The following is a 17,996-nucleotide window of genomic DNA, read 5'->3' on the forward strand; positions in this document are numbered from 1 at the left end:
TATAAATCTGGGTGGTCAGGTATTGGGTATAAATATATTTAGGATAGTTAAATCTTCTTGTAGAATTGAACTCTTTGTCATTATATAATGTTATTCTTTGTCTTTTTTTTAACTATTATTGGTATAAATTCTGTTTTTTTCTGATGTAAGAATAGCAACCTATGCTCTTTTTTGTTTTCCATTGTGTGATATACCTTTCTCCACTCCTTTACTTTGAGCCTGTGGGTGTCCTTTCACATTAGATGGATCTCTTGTAGTCAGCAGATGTTGAGTCTTGTTTCTTAAATGCAATTTGACAATCTATATCTTCATTTAGGTCATTTCTGTTCAAAGTTAATATTGACATGTGAAGTTTTGTTCCAATCATAGTACTGTTAGCTAATTGCTTTGTAGTCTCAGTGGTGTGATTGCTTTATAGGATCTTTGGATTTTGTACTTATATGAGCTTTTATGACAGGAGAGTATTGTCCTATATTCTTTTATGACATAAAAGAGTATACTCTTTTCTGTTCGAAGTTTATGCTTTATGACATAAAAGAGTATACTCATTTCTGTTCAAAGTTAATATTGACGTGAAATTTTGTTCCAATCATAGTATTGTTAGCTAGTTGCTTTGCAGTCTCAGTAGTGTAATTGCTTTTTAGGATCTTTGAGTTTTGTACTTATATGAGCTTTTATGACAGGAGAGTATTGTCCTATATTCTTTTATGACATAAAAGAGTATACTCTTTTCTGTTCAAAGTTTATGCTTTATGACATAAAAGAGTATACTCATTTCTGTTCAAAGTTAATATTGACATGTGAAGTTTTGTCCCAATCATAGTATTGTTAGCTAGTTGCTTTGCAGTCTCAGTGGTGTAATTGCTTTATAGGATCTTTGAATTTTGTACTTATATGAGCTTTTATGACAGGAGAGTATTGTCCTATGTTCTTTTATGACATAAAAGAGTATACTTTTTTATGACAAAGAGTATTGTCCTTTTTCCCCACGTTTACAACACCTTTGAGCATTTCTTATAGCACCAGTCTCATGGTGATGAATTTTCTTAATATTTGCTTGTTTGAGAAAGACTTTATTTCTCCTTTGCTTATGAAGCTTAGTTAGGCAGGATATACAATTTGGGGCTATAATTTTTTGTCCTCAAGAAGGCTAAAAATAGGCCCCCTATCTTTTTGGCTTATATGGTTTCTGTTGAGAAAGCCACTGCTAGTCTGATGGAATTTCCTTTACAGGTGACTTGACTGTTCTCTCTAACTCTCTTTAAGATTTTTTCTTTAGCATTGACCTTGGTTAGTCTGATGACTATATGCCTTGATGATGTTCATCTTATATAGTATCTTGCAAGTGTTTTCTGAATTTCTTTTATCTGGATGTCTACCTCCCAACAAGATCAGGGAAATTTTTCTGAATGATTCCTTTAAATATGTTTCCAAATTGCTTACTTTTCCTTCTTTCTCAGCAATACCTATAAGCTATAGGTTTGGTCAATTTACCCCCTATACCATCTTTCTCAAATATTTTGTTTATTTTTAAAATGCTTTTCTATTTATTTTTGTCTGACTGGATTAATTTGAAAGACCAATGTTTAAGCTCTGAAATTCTTTCTTCTACTTGGTCTAGTCTTTTGTTAATGTTTTCAATTGTACATTGAAATTACTTTTGTGAATTTTTTTATTTTCAGAAGTTCTATTTTTATAAATATAGCTATCTTGTCTTTCATTTTCTGAGTTGTTCTTCTGGTTTCTTTGTATTGGTTTTCAACATTCTCTTGGATATCATTGCACTTCTTTAGAATCCGTATCTTGAATTCCTTATCAGTCATTTTTTATTTTGTTTAGGATCCATTGCTAGAAATCTAGCCTGATCCTTTCAAGGTGTTAAAACACTCTGTCTTTTTGTACCACTGGAGTTCTTGCACTGATTCCTTCCCATGCGAAGGAGTTGTTGCTTCTAAGTTTTGAATTTGCTATTGTTTGAATGGGACTTTATCATGTTTATTCTTTTTTCCCTTGAGGGTATGACTGTGGTGTATGTTGTATGTGATTGTTTGGCTTCTTTTCTGGGGTTTCTCGGTGCCAAGACTCTGCATGGGCTCCTTGGTTATGGATAGCCTTTGTGTGGTGGCTTTCTCAAATGCTGCTTGTTGTAGACATGTATTGGGCATATGAGCCAACACACTATTTTCTGTGTGACTAGGAGAGCAGAGGTCTCAGTAAACTTATCTTGTACACTAGTACTATACCCTTCTGACAGTAGGTTTTTTATTTGGTGGTGCAATTCAGTCTTCAGTCAAGTAGGAGGTGCTTAAGAGTAAGAATCCACTCACCCTCAGGCAGTCTAATGATGAAGGAAGACAACTGTCCTAATTGAGGTTAGTGTGGGGAGCTTGTGTTGGAGTGAACTGGTCTTGGTGGTAGGGGCAGGGGGCCTGCATTAGCCCCTCATCCTGGGCAGGCAGGAATGTGATCCGTTTTCCTATCACACCTTTCTGTCACAGGGCTCATGATCTTCAGCATATAGACATTGTTCTTTGGCTCCCAAGCTGAAGTGTGACTGAGGTCTGGAGAAATGCCCCTTTGGTGGCTACCACCAAAATGAGCTCAGGGCAGAGCCTCTTCCCAGAGCCCAGAGCAAACAGTTTTTCAACTTGTCTGCCCTTCGTTGCTGGGACACTGCCATTCTGTGTTGGGATGGGGAGACAGGTCCCACCTTTCATGCATGCCTAGGTGGCATTGGCTCACTTTCAATGAGGTGTAGCTGCCACGAAGAGTGCTGGAAAGGCTGTCTCCAAGTGCAATCAGGTCAGCCCTCATCAGGAAAAGCCTCTGCTGCATCCACAACAGTGCCTGCACTGAGGGCTAGATTTCCATGGAACCTGCAGCTCCCCAGAGACCCGCCAGTCTCCTGTGGTTGCCAAAGTCAGAAGGGGTTCTGAGGTATGTTTGCAGGGGATCTTGTAGTGTGGCAACACAAGGACTAAGGTTCCTTGGACAGGGCACTGGCCCACAATGAGTGCACAACCAGTGTGGCACCTGCCATCTCAGTTAGGGCCTGAGGGGAGTGTGGGCACACCAGCACGAGCTGGCCACCTGAGGCTCCCACCCCAGAGAGTTCCCAAATTGCCACCAACTGCATTGCCTGGGATTTCAAGGGCAGAGGGGTTCTCTGACAATTTGTCAGTCAGCAGTTAGTCACAGGAGTGAGGGGAGCAGAGAAGCACCCCAACCTATCCTTTACATGGGACTCTGAGTTCCTCAGGAGTCAGTGTCTGCCAGACTTTTGCTGCTTTCCTTGTCTGCACCCCAGTTTCTTCCCATGGGCTCTCTGAAAGCTCGTGGCTCTCTTCCCTCAGCTTTCCATTTGGATCATGACCATTCAACTGTAACTTTGATCTTTCTACAAACTGGCGTCTGACATCTCTAGTCAGCCATCTTGAAAAAAAAAAGCTACATTAAAGTTATAAAAATAAAAGTAATTGCACTGTGATGTTACAAAGGCTACTATATCACTAGGTGACAAGAATTTTTCAGCCCTATTATAGTTTTATGGTACCACTATTTTATATGCGATCCATCATTTGACTGAAACATCATTATGTATGACTGTACATAACAAATTGCGAATAGAATTAGAAAGTGCTTTCTACTTCTGGAAATCAATGTTGTCTTCACAGAGACAGAGGTGGGCTTTGAAGGATAAATAGGAGTTCAGGAGGCAAAGAAGGAAGGATCTGTTATATTCTGGGAATGGCAAATATGATGTGGATAAAGCATTGGGATTGTGTCTGGGGGCATAAAATGTGACTGGATATAAAGTTTAAATCTTTACATAAGGTAGGTCAAATTGTGGAGAATGAATTAATCCTTGAAGTCACTCTATCTGATAAGCACATTATTATCTCCATTTCACAGATAAAGAAACTAAGGTACAGAAGATTAAATGACTTAAATAGGTCACCTGACTAGTAAGTCGTATGGCAGTGATTCAAACCCACAAGGAAGACTTGTACATATTTATTGACTTTTTCATGATGATTTTTAAAAAGTTGAGAATATTCTATTATAAAGCAATAAAGAATTTGATATTTAGTAACCATATCACAATAGTTTTACAAATGTTTTAGCAAAAGTTTGAAAGTTTTATAGTTAGAAAATTCCCATTGAACTAAGATTTATTCCCATAATTAGGAAAGCCACTCTCCCATTGGAGACTACTTTTATTATAGCCTCATGTTCTCTTACTTTAAATTATCTTCTCTGCTGTACCACAAAATAAAAAGTCTTATAATTTCCTTATTTCAAATGTTTTTTCTTTGAAAAAGAACCATTTATTTCTGGTATTATTAGTTGATTAATTTTTGTGCAACTTAGTAGTGTTGATATAGGATCAATGTCAACTGGTGGAGCAATTCTAAGGGTGTTTGCTCCATTAGTAATAACCAGTGGAGTTAATTAATTACACAGGCATTTGAAATTGTAGGTTTTGCCTGTTAAACACTGGATATTTCAGGATGAGAAATGTGGAGGTGGACTAATACTGAACATTTTATTTCAGAAAATACAGCCAATAGTAAATTTCAGTCTTTTATTGAGCTATCTTTGACACCTGTGCACATCTTATAATAAACTGTTCTGTTTTTCAATGGGTATCCTAGGAACAAGAACTAAATAAGAGACAATTATTTTAAAGTCTTCAATAATAGAATTTACTTTTGTGTGGGCAAAAGACACGAACAGACACTTCTCAAAAGAAGACATACATGCGGCTGACATAGGAAAAAAAAGCTCAACATCACTAATCATTAGAGAAATGCAAATCAAAACCTCAATAAGATATCATCTCACATCAGTCAGAATGGCTATTATTAAAACGTCAAGAAACAACAGATGCTGGTGAGGTTGTGGAGAAAAAGGATTCCTTTACACTATTGGTGGAAACGTAAATTAGTTCAACCATTGTGGAAGACAGTGTGGCAATTCCTTAAAGACCTAGAGGCAGAAATACCATTTGACCCAACAATGCCATTAATGTGTATATACCCAAAGGAATATAAATCATTCTATTATAAAGATACATGCACGCACGTGTTCATTGTAGTGCTATTCACAATAGCAAAGACATGGAACCAACTAAAATGCCCATCAGTGATAGACTGGATAAAGAAAATGTTGCACATGTATACCCTGAAATGCTATGCAGCCATAAAAAGGAACAAGATCATGTCCTTTGCAGGGACCTGGATGGAACTGGAAGCCATTACCCTCAGCAAACTAAAGCAGTAACAGAAAACTAAATACCACATATTCTCACTTATAAGTGGGAGTAGAATGATGAGAACACATGGACACATGAGAGGAAACAACACACACTGAGGCCTGTTGGAGGGTAGGAGGTGGGAGGAGGGAGCACATCAGGAAGAATAGCTGATGGACTCTGGGCTTAATACCTAGATGATGGGTTGATCTGTGCAGCAAACCACCGTGGTACACATTTACCTATGCAACAAAACTGCACATATTGCCCTTGTACATCTGAACTTCAAAATAAAAGTTGGAGATTAAAAAACGAAATTACTTTTGTTCCAGAATTAACTCTCAGATGTTCCATGTTTCATCACTTTATTTTTTCACATAATTTGTGTATGTGACTCACATCAATTCATTTTGATATATAATTGATTTCTGATATTTTGTTTGTTTGAAGTGAGAGGTAACTGGGTAATTATCTATACTCTGCTTTTACCATGCATTTTATTTCCAGGTAAATTTGAAAAATCTAAATTATTTTTCTAAATTTGATCATGGTTTATTTGACAGTTTACAAGTACTTGCAGGCATGTGTTTGCATGTGGATAATAACAAATAACTAAGAAATCTTACAAAAGTATAGCTTCATAATTTGGGGGTCCTGGTTATACATTTTACATCTCTAAGTTAGGAACTCATATTGTTAATCTCCCTTCATAGTTCCTTATAACTAAACTCTGTTTAGTATGAGTTTCTACTTATCAAAGGCATAATAACTCACTCACTATTTGGTATATTTGCTCTTTAATGTGACATGACATGTTTTCTGTGGATAAGGAGAACTGTGTATTTGTGCGTATATGTATATATAATGTTTTCAACCAATCACTATTTCAGAGAAAAAATGGATGAAAATAAACTTGTATTCATTACATTAAATATAATCCTATACATATTAAGAGGAAATTTTACAGCAGGAAATTGTTCCTTTAATCATTATTTTTCTTGAAAATTATTTAATACTTTTAAGACAAACCACGGATGACCAAAGTCTCTTAATATTTACCACATAGATTTATATTAACACTATATTTTTGTTTTAAGTTTTCTAGACATCTGAGACTTAAATATGTTCTTATTTAAAGACTTTAATAGTATGGCAGTTGTACCATGAAGGTGGCATAGTGAAGGAGATCAACTTAGTCTACTTTTTGACTAAATTCTTAAATCTCTATTTCAGCTGTCTTCCCCCTAGAACTATAGCTTAAAAGCTCCTCAGCTGCATACAGCACATAGCCTTCACAGGTTATCGCCTTTCTATAGAGTCCTCTCACAATATAAACAGGTGTAGCTACCAATTAGGACATGTCTCAAGAAATTGTTAACACTCACCAATATTAATTAAGTGCTAATAGGGTACTGAGCCAAACACTGAGGGTGCTGAGCCAAATTTCCATTTCACATTCTTCATTCTCCAAGGAGGTTTAGATACTGGTGCTGTCAATAGGGTGCTTGAGTTCTAGAACCCATGGGGAAAAATAAATTACTGTGGCCACTTTGCACATAAATGTTTAAATTTAAAATATCAATTGATATAAATACTGATAATAATGAATAAATATTAAATAATAATTGAAAGGGATGATGTTCTTGGTTTGGGGGATAATACCCATAATCTTAGCAGTACCAGAATCATTGCAACCCTAATAGGATTAATTCCATTTTGGAATATCAGTATTCTGAGATTACTATTTTGAATGTTCTCGTTTATATTTTCTTCAAGTAAACTTTTTTGCTTCTTCATTCTTTTTCAGAAATTTTATTATTTTTAAAATTGACAGATAAAATTGTATGTATTTATTATGTACAACATGATGCTTTGAAATATATATATCTATGCACTGTAGAATAACTAAATATAGCTAATTAACATATGCCTTACCTCACATAGTTATTATTTTTGTAGTGAAAATACTTATCCACTCTCACTATTTTTCAGGAATACAATATGTTATTAACTATTGTCACTATGCTGTACAATAGATCTCTTGAACTTATTTCTGCTGTCAAACTAGAATTTTATATCCTTTGACTAGCCCCTTCCTCAGCCCCCCAAGTGCCCCAGCCCCTAGTAGCCATCATTCTACTCTCTAGTTCTATGTGTTTGCCTCCTCGTTCTATCTTTCCTCTTCCTCACTACCTAGTCATTCCTAGTGCCCACAGTGTGTCACAACTGCTGAAAGCATGGTGAAAAAATATCTGTTTTCTTTTCTTCCCTTCTCTCTCTCTTCTTAATGCGTTTCAGGTGGGAAGATAATAAAAGAAACCAAAATGATTGAAATCATTATTAGCAGAAAGTAAAATTTTAATTTCCTGCTGGTACAATAAGCTTTTGTCTGGTCTCTGGGGCAGGAAGATTATGAATATTCTTTTGTGCCACTTTCAAACTGCTTCTAAATATCTTAGGTACATTTGTAATATGAAAATATGGCAGCCTTATTAGCAAAATAATTTCTAATTTTGAGCTAAATTGTATAAGATTATGCATGTTTTTCTTTTGCATAACTCAATTTGTTTCCTGTAATGATAATTGCCATGATTGAATTAGAAGATAATATAGCATAAAAAAATTTTATGACATCACAGTGATTAATCCAAAACTATCAGCATCAATGAAGTTAATAACAATATTGTTCATGAAAACAAAGGTCATGTTTATGAAATTGAAACATTGTTTATATGTGAGTGGCCTATTTTTCTCATGCTACTGCACTAATTTTATCTTAGGGTTTATAAATATGAATCCTAAATATTAAAGTAGTGCTATTTATCGCCAACTCTAGTGGCCTTCTGTCCTCAGCCTTTTTGAATTCACAAAATTCCTGTAAACTGTGGACTATTTTCCCCAACTTACAAATAAAGAAATTGAGGTTCAAAAAAGTAACTCGCCAATAAATAGGTTCTAGATATCTACTATACAGCATAGTGCCTATAGCTAAAAATACTGTATCGTATACTTAAAATCTTCCAAGAGGGTGGATCTTATGTTGTATTCTTACCACGCACATACAAATAATAATAATGATAGTAAAGGCATTAGGGAGCTTTGGGATGTGATAGATATATTTCCATGTGTAAGTGCTGTAAGAGTTCACAAGGGCATAACCCAAGTGCCCCAGATATGGCCCTTCTGTATTGAATATACCTAAGGTAGACACACTGAAGAAGATGGATATATGAAAAAGTCTAATATACTAGCCTTATTGAGGTAAATTGATCAGTTCACATTGGGTATAGAACATTGTCAGCAACTAGAAAAAGAAAATGAGGTTGTTCCGTCTCTATGTTCACACGAGGCATGAGGCAGCGACGTTCTAATAATCCTCCTGCTCTTCTCCCTTACCCTCCTGCCTCCTCAATAGCCTTAATTTGTAGCATTTTCCAATATCTGTGGTTAAATTCTTTCCCTATGGCCAATTTTATACCACTGAGGTGTTTTCCCTGAACATAAAGTTAGGAAGAGATGCGTGTAACTGGCACTGGTGAGCTGGGGTAAGCCAGCTCTAGCATACCACTGCTGCCAGGTTATCTACCGTAGAGTGTAAGCCATAGTTTTCATCAAAAGTGTCCTGCAAAAAAAAAACATTGAAAAATGAGAAACAGTTTCTGTATGTCAATATAAGTCAATTTTTATTGCAATGAATATTGAAGGAGGTAAAATTTTTTTTTACTTCCTGATGAAAACAGATGAAGTATGTTAATATATGTCCCTGGGCCCTCTGTGTTTCTGTGCCTCCCCTCACAAGGCATGCTATTTTTCTGTACCTGCCAATACATATCTTATCTTCCTTACAGGCCTCTCTCCTCTGTTTTTGACTATTTCAGCCTACTCCAGCTTGTAGTGCTGTAGAAAAGGCTTTAGATTCATTTATTTATTCAAGAAACACTTACTGAGCTTTTAATATGCCAGGTACTGAGAATATAAACATGATTAGACAGACCATGCTATAGCTTTGATTGTATGGCTTTGGGGCAATTGCTTTTTTTGTTTTTTAACTTACTGAGGGATGACTGACATGTAAAAAGCTGTACATATTTAATGTATACAACTCAATGAGTTTGGAATATACACCCATGAAATCATTACTAGCATCAAAGCCACAGATATATCTATCACCTCCCAAAGCTTCCTAATGCCTTTATTATTATTACTATTATTTTTATTATTATTAGTATGTGTGTGTGTGGTAAGAACACAACATAAGATTCAACCTCTTGGAAGATTTTAAGTATACAATGCAGTATTGTTAGCTATAGGCACTATGCTGTGTAGTAGATCTCTAGAACCTATTTATCGGAAAGTTACTTTTTTGAACCTCAATTTCATTATTTGTAAGTTGGGGAAAATAGTCCATAGATTGCAGCGATTTTGTGAAGATTAAATGAGAAAATATAAATAAAACACTTAGCATAGTAGATGGTACATTGTAGATTTTCTATAAAGGCTAGTTTCTTTTTTTTAACTCTAAACTCTTATAGCTATCTTAAGTGCCAAATGAATCGGCATTTATTTATATTCTGCCTTGGATGTTGCTTGCCTTCTCTAGTATCCTCAGCTTGTACCTTTATGCAGGTTCTTATACATAATTTGTTGTTCCTATCAACATTGATCACAATGTAGTATCAATACTTTCTGATTCTTGGTTCTTAATTTGCCTGCCCATTGAGATATTGGTCATAAGTTAACATTTTCCCATTATTTTCCATTTTGAATCACTTTCCTGGTACTTTCAATTTTGTATTTTATATCCTGTCCATCTGTATTTTATAATTTTAAATTTTTTCTTCCAAATAAATTTTAGCATTCAGCTATTGCTGTGTCACAATCCATTTCCAAACGCAGTGGCTTCAAACAGCAACATTTTATTTAGGTCATAATTCTGTAGGTTGTGAATTTGGGTTGGACTCAGCTAGTTAGTTCTTCTAATGTGAATCAGCTGGCGCCCGCTTCTACAATCAGCTGATGATTTCACAACTGAGGCCGGCTGGTTTGTGAAGTCCTCAGCTGGATGACTGCCAGCTAGGGCTTCTCTCTTCATGGTCTCTGATCTGATCCAGCCAGCTAGGCTGGGCATGTTTACATGGTGGCATGACTTCCAGAAGCAACAGCAGGTAAGAACCTATGCATAAGAACCCTTCAAACCTCTGTGTCACATTTGCTAATGCCCCATTGATCCAGATTCAAGGGTTGGAGGAATATATTCCAACTCTTGTTGGAACAAGCTGCTAAAATATTGTGGCCATTTTAAGAGAATCTACCACATTATCTATGTATTTTTCATTTGTAAACATCTATACAGAAATGCCAAGTGTTTTTATCTTTGATTTCAGATATTTTAATTGTTTCACAGTTGAATTTCATAAACTTTCCTCATGGAAATCTGTTTTTCTCCTCAGCAACTTCTCGGTTTTTCCAGGCAAGCCTTTCTGTTCTTAATTACTGTAATTTTCAGAATGAGCTTCTTTCTACATGTGCACATGTCTTTTAAATTAATATAATACAAAACTAAATCTGGAAAATTTTAGTTTTACATTTTTTTGTTCATCTCCTAACCTATTTCCCTGAAGCAAAGTGACAGGTCTGTTCAGAATTTATAATTTAATTAAGATGAGATTGGGGAGGTAAGGAAGTACCACTTTCTCTTTTGCATTCATTTTTTAAGGATCTCAGGACATATGTTGATCTATTTTCTTTCTCTTCCTTGCAAATTAAAACAAAATGTTTTAAAATAAATGTTTTAAAATAATAGTGAAATTGCAAGCTTTGCTGATTATAAAAATATATGCTCTATCTCATCTTGCCTTTTCTTCCCTGCTCTAATATGAACTTCACATTATCCCTTCAATTGCTCTTCTGTTTTTGCTCACGTTATCTCCTTTTTCTAAATTTTTCACTCCTCTGCTGATGTAAAACCTGCTTATTGTTTAAGAGCAACTCAAGTCCTACATCCTCCATGAAATTTTCACTGATTGCCCAGGTTATCCTTGATTTTACTCTATTGTGAACTCCTACAGCATTTGATGGCTGGTACCACACAGTAACATTTGCCTCATTACAGGTTGGTATTGTTTAATGCTTTTAATGTGTATTTTTAATTTGTATTGTTTGCTGCTGTTTTCATTGCTGGGCTTGATTCGTTAGCCAGTTTTTTTTTTTACTGATTTGCACTCCTGGCTCTCTAAGTGCTGTAAATGTCCAGGATTAAGCTGTTTTATAATATACCAAAATTGGGAGTTCTCAAGTCATTTTTTTTATAAGAAAACACATATTTTTAGGTTTCATTCACTTATTCAAGATATATTAAATGCTTATTATGTTTCAAGATTAAAAATAAACACTATCTCAAGACACAAAGTTAATTTAGTTGCTATGTTTTGCTCAAGACGGTGTTATAAACTTGTAAGAAACAGTATTTTTGAAAATGTGCCACAGTACCTTCTAAACTAGTAAATCTCAGTTAGTGGCCCTTTTGATGAGCAACTTTAGGACTTTCAAGATTTCTACTTTCTATCTAGAATAGTCATAGTCATGAAGCCTTTTGTTTTATAATGATTATAAATACCTTCCCAGGGTCAGGTAACTATGACCAGCACTAGTTTAACACTGTCTTTTTCTTTTAGCAAAACAACACAAGGAACAATGGCACAGTAGCCTAGTAATACCTCTTTGCTATAAACATACACTCACTCCCATCCTCTCAGTCTCTTTGTTTCTCTGTTACTCTCCCTTAGCAGAAATTTTCCATTGGACTTCTAGTGCTTTGATGTATTATGATCAATGATGACTTGTGTTTTCTGACTCTGTTAGAGTCTCCATGGAATTAAAGATTATATGCTTATTCAGCTTAATGTACTTGACCTTTTTGTATGATTGACACATCTAAATTTCTGTAGCAACTCAGTCATTATGCAACAGCTGTGTTATATTCATTTCATGTAAAAAGCAAAAACAAAAGACATAGAGTTCTCTTCAAGAGTAGATACCTTGACCCCTTCCCTCCCAGCTAAATAAAGAATAGTTTATTAATAACATTATTAATCAGTTTCCAAATGCGTCTCCTTTCCTCACCGCATTTTATAAACATTCAGTATACTGTGACCATAGTCACATCAAGAATCATTTCAATACTGATCCTTATTATATAATTAAAATATTCAATAATTCTGAGTCTGTTGAACATAATAATAGCCACACAACTTAAGTGTCAAACATCTAGGATTTGTTAGCAAGATTTGTGCTCAGAAAATAATATGTACAAACCTTTGATTTTCTTAATGATGAAACTGTATTTTGTCTGAATTGACATATGTGTCTTTAAGTTAGAGAGAAAAAACCTTGACATTTTTCTGTGACTTTTCCTTATCAACAGCTGTGTTCTACCTGCGTTTATTTTTCTCAGAATTCATTATGAATTCTGTATAGGCCTTCAGAAGGCCTATACAGGCTTTCTAACAGAGATTCTATAGGAAAAAGTTTTGGTTAACTGTTTGAAGTATTAGTTGAAGAAGGCATTCTAGATAAGGTTTTACAAGACAGAAGAAAAGAATCAATTCATTTTTAGTTCTGAGCCTGAATTGTGGAAACTGTACTAACTGCAGATAAACTCTGAATAAATTCTAGTGTTCTCTGCTTATCTCAAAAAATCTTTTCTTTTAATGATACTGTTCCATGCTCACTAATGTTTTCAAAACATATTCATATCTAAATGGTTTTGTATTTTTATTAAATTTTGGATTTTTTGCATTACATAAAGTTAATTTTGTTGACCATTTTATGAATTTAAGAAATGTCCACTTGAAAGGACTCGCTCCTTTAATTAAATTTTTGGCCTTTATTTATAAAATAAAAATTATTCTTTATATGTTCTTGAAAAGTAAATCAGATTAGGATTAATAATTGTCAAGTCATTTTAGAACAATGACATCTATCATTAAATTTCTTGAATTTTTTGCCTTCTCAACTGATAGCTATCCGGGTGAAAAATTCAATTATGGATATTGGAAAAATTGATGGTAATATTAATCTGGAAATGTTATTTCTGTACTATTCTTTACAGGACCTGAGGGGATTCTCTAGTTCTTTAGGCCAGTGTTATAATGTTAGGATTTACAAAAGTTGGTAATATAGAGAGAAACAGGAAGAAAATGAAATGGGACAGGAAAATATCATTCCTTCTTCTTATTCCTTCCTCTAAGTCACTGGCATTGTGAAGGGAAAAGGGAACTAACATGTATTAGTGTCTACCATGTAACAGGCATTGTCTTTCATATTTTATATTTATCGTATTAGCTCATGTAATCTTTGTGGAAAATCTCCTAAATCTATTAGTAGGTCTTTAATATCTATGTTTATTTATTTTGTCCTGAAAACAAATGAAGTTTTTGGATCAAGACAGAGAATTATTATTACTTATAGCAATAACCACCTTGGAAAGAAGGCACACAGTTATGCGCACAGGAGGGGAGCCATGAAATTATGAATCTGGGAATTTATATAGGAATTACTATATAAACTCTTTATATAGTAAATGGTCTTCTCCTGTCTTCTCCTTTTCTGAAAGAGGAAGAGAAAGTTTATCTCCGTTATATACAATAAGCAAATCTTTAGGGGAGAGAATGAGAAGGTCCTGGTTTAAACCCTTTGAAATGTAAACCAGTAGCTCTGGGATTTTGTTCTCTTTTGAAATGTAAACACAGAGCTGTAGAAAATAAGTGTCTGCATATCTCTGAGGGTCTCTGTCTATTCAGTCCACCTTTAATCCAGATTTCAGTTTGTCTTGCTTTATAACTCCTTAACCATGCAGAAGCATGAAAACATTTTCTCTGTAGTTCCACATCATGAATTTTAGCAGTTTTAGTACTGTTGCTAAAAAATTGTGGCTATTAGCTTGTTTCCATTCCTTTCATAAAGTGTTTAGTAGCATAATGCATTATTAGGTCTACTTTCTATCTATTATACTTGAAAACCATCCTCTCTATGTAAAATATCTATTTATTCAATGGATATTTATTGAGCACCAAAAACTGTCAAGCATTGTTCTAGGTATTTGGGATACATCAGTCGACAAATCAAAGATACCTGCCTTGCTTGTATTTACAAACTTTGGGGTTAGAATGCATAAAATTGAGATTATGGAGGGGTTGTAATTATTGCCAATGAAAAGCCTAGGATGAAAGATCACTGGAAGACTAAAGTTTAAGGAATTGAAAGGCCAGAATATCAAAAGAATCATCTATATGTGTTTTGAAATCTTATGAATTAAGGCAGTATCGAAGAGAATGACAGTATGCAAAGAGCTCAAATGGTTGAGTGGGAATTACCTGGACCTTAGTGGATAACAGCAACCATGAGGCAAAGTATGTAGTGAGTAATGTCGACCATGAGATTTAAATCTGAAGGATGTCAGGAAGGATATGGGGAAATGGTCTGAAAATGTCAGAATGGAGCAAAGAAATACCACTTTGCTTATTCCACTCACCCAACCAGAGGTCGCAGGAACAAGAATGACACCTTTCCATCTTGCATAAGAACTGTGGGAGAGAAGCAGCCATCACTGAGAGATTGTAGGGGAGGCATTGTCCTCCAGAGAAAGACAGGTTTATGTTTCAGCTAGGAAAGTAAAGGGAACACTTAGAAAATTGATTTTTGGCTCACTGGAAGGGTTTCAGCAGTTGGGAGAGAACAAAGGTAATTTTTACCAGCTTGTAACTTCACATGTATTAACTGTGTTGCAAAACTAATGAAACTTACTGTCTATTCTCTTGCTTTATCTGATAATATAGATAAGGGTGTCACCTGTAATCATTGTTACCATATTTCTTGAGGCCATTTTCTTATTCTCATTTAACTTTTCTACTTGTTTCTTCTTTATTTGTATTTTTCTCTGTTTTTAATCTTGCTCTTTTTATCATTTCTGTCTCTTTATATCCTACTTACCTCTTAATCTTTTTGCCCAACTTCTCTCTTAATATATATATATTTTTGCTCTTTACTATTTCTCTTATCTTTCTATTTCAAAATTACACTGTCTGCTGTTTTCTCCAACTCCCCACAACTCACCTTAGGTGTAGTTGGGACTATGCAATATGCCATCACACAGGTAGTACTAATTTTGACAGGTAGCATCTCTACTTCAAACAAAGAAAGCTTTAACCAAAAAGGAATTACAGGAGAGAAGACAGTATTCTCCCCAACTGATGCTAACATTGCCACCTACACTTTTGACGCTTTCTTCAACAGTTAAGACGTAGCAACTTATTACTTCCCCAAATTCCCTGTGCTCTGTTGATCTGTCTTAAACTCTAAAGGGAGAGAAAGTAGGTTTGTTCATTAGCTGTGGGACTTAAAATGTGACTTAACTTTTTTGAACCTTTTGTTTCGTGAATGATAAAAAAACACTTTCTGAATGATATAGCTACTAATATTTTCATTTTATAGATAAAGTGAAAGATAAAGTACTTTTTTTAAAGGTTGCATAAATATAAGTGACACACACTGATATGAATGTAAGCATTTGACTCAATCCCAGAGATCATGTTTTAATGAATACTCTATTGTTTCTCACATAATATAACTTAATATTGTGGTCAATAAAATAATAAATAGGACCAGACACATATATGTATTAATTCACTTCCCTTTATTTCCTTTTTCCAAAATTGAGCCTTATTGGTAAAGGGCTTTTTGTGCATTTTAATTGTCTATAATCAGGTACTTGAACCAATTATAATTTTTCACTTGCCTGCATGAATCCATACAGGACAAAAACCTGAATATAGAAACTATCTTTCAGCTTTCGGTTTGCCAGAGGATTAATCTATAATTATTTTTAGGATTATAAAAGATTTACATCCGTTCTTAAAATATACATAATATCGGATTTTTTTCCAGCAATAGAGGAATAACTAATTCTATAGTTTCATGCCAATCTCACCTCCAGTCCTTCTAGAATTTGGAGGTAATTTAACCCCGTGTATAAAAAATAAATATTTTCTTTTTTGCGTTTTATTGAAAAAATCACGTAATTTAAGTACAAATATATCCACTAAAGTAGGCAAATTTATTTTAGTAGAATTCAGTTATCCCTTTCAAAGAAACACTATCAGCCTAAGTGTTATACATTGGATATTTTAGAAATCTTACAATTTCAATTACATGTCTTCTGAAACTCATTATTGTAAGGCTTTGTTTTAGGCTTTCCTTGCTGTATTAGTTGACTGGGGCTGCCAGAAAAAAATACCACAGGCTGGGCAGCTTAAACTACAGAAATGTATTTTCTCACAGTTCTGGAGGCTGGGACACCTAAGATCAAGATGGCTAGCCAGGTGGGTCTCATTCTGAAGACTTTTCTCTTGGCTTTAGGTGGTTACCATCTCCTTGCATCATTGTGTTACCTCTTTGTGTGCTTGGACAGAGAGCAAGAGAGGTAGCTCTTTGGTGTTTCTTCTTTTAAGAACACTAATTGGATGGATCCAGCCCCACTCCTATGGCCTCATTTAACCTTAATTACCTCTATAAAGGCCCTATCTCTAAATACAGTCACATTTGGGGTTGGGACTTTAAAATATAAACCTCGGGGGACATAAGCCTTCATCCACAGTATTGCCATTATAATATTTTGTGTACTTTGGCACTTGAGAAAGTAAGATTTTTTTTAACCTAGTATTTTAATGTTTTCTTTAGAGGTTTTTTCCCTGATACAACACTCTCCTATACATGATCTACTTGGTAACACAAATATCCCTTTGTTTGCTTGTACTTTTGCTTCCTCATAAATTTTTCTGTAGCTACAAATGTTAACTTTGTTGGATAGGCTTTATTTTTTAGATCAATTTTAAGTTTATAAAAATACTGCACAGAAAGTTGAGACAGTTCCCATGTATTTCCTCTCCCTGCTGCACACAATTTCTTCTCTTATTAACATTTTACATTAGTGCAGTACATTTGTTACAATTGATAAACCAACATTAATAGGTTATTATCAACCAAAGTCCATAGTTTACATTAGGGTTCACTCTGTGTTATACAGTTCTATTGGTCTGGACAAATGTTTAATGACATGTATCTACCATTACATTATCAAGGATGGTTTGACTTCCCTAAAAATGCCCTGTGCTCCACCTGTTCATCCCTATACCTTCTCCCTGAAGCCCTGACAACTGCTGATATTTTTACTGTCTCTATAGTTTTAGCTTTTCCAGAATGTCATACAGTTGGAATAATACAGTATGTAGCTTTTAAAACCATCTTCTTTCACCTAGCAATATGCATTAACAGTTCTCTCATGTCTTTTTTGTGGTTGACAGCTCATTTCCTTTTCCAGTAGTCCCACTTTATCTGTAGAGGATACGTTCTAAGACCCCCAAAAGATGCCTGAAACCTCAGATAGTACTGAACCCTATATATACTGTGTTTTTCCTTTACATACATACCTATGATAAAATTTAATTTATAAATTAGGCACAGTAAGAGATTAACAGTAGCTAATAATAAAATTGAACAATTATAACAATATGCCAGAGTCGAAACTCTTGTGCCTTGGGACTTTTATTAAGTATAATAGGTGGCCAATATCAAGTGTAACATATAGAAATAGGAAAACAGAAAAACCTCTGTGGAATTTGGCATTAACATAGACCTTAGCGAAACCTGTTTTATTAGAGACAGTGATTTTTTAAAAACACTTAAC

The 17,996-nt window shown here is 34.7% G+C and overlaps 1 protein-coding gene across 25 annotated transcripts in view; it reads left to right on the forward strand.

Annotated features, from left to right (window-relative positions):
* The window catches only part of SLC4A10 (solute carrier family 4 member 10), a 360,855-nt gene that overhangs the window by 161,668 nt on the left and 181,191 nt on the right, over positions 1–17,996 (forward strand). The window lies entirely within an intron of this gene.

This window comes from Homo sapiens, chromosome 2 (genome assembly GCF_000001405.40).
Source record: "Homo sapiens chromosome 2, GRCh38.p14 Primary Assembly".
Lineage (NCBI taxonomy): Eukaryota > Metazoa > Chordata > Mammalia > Primates > Hominidae > Homo > Homo sapiens.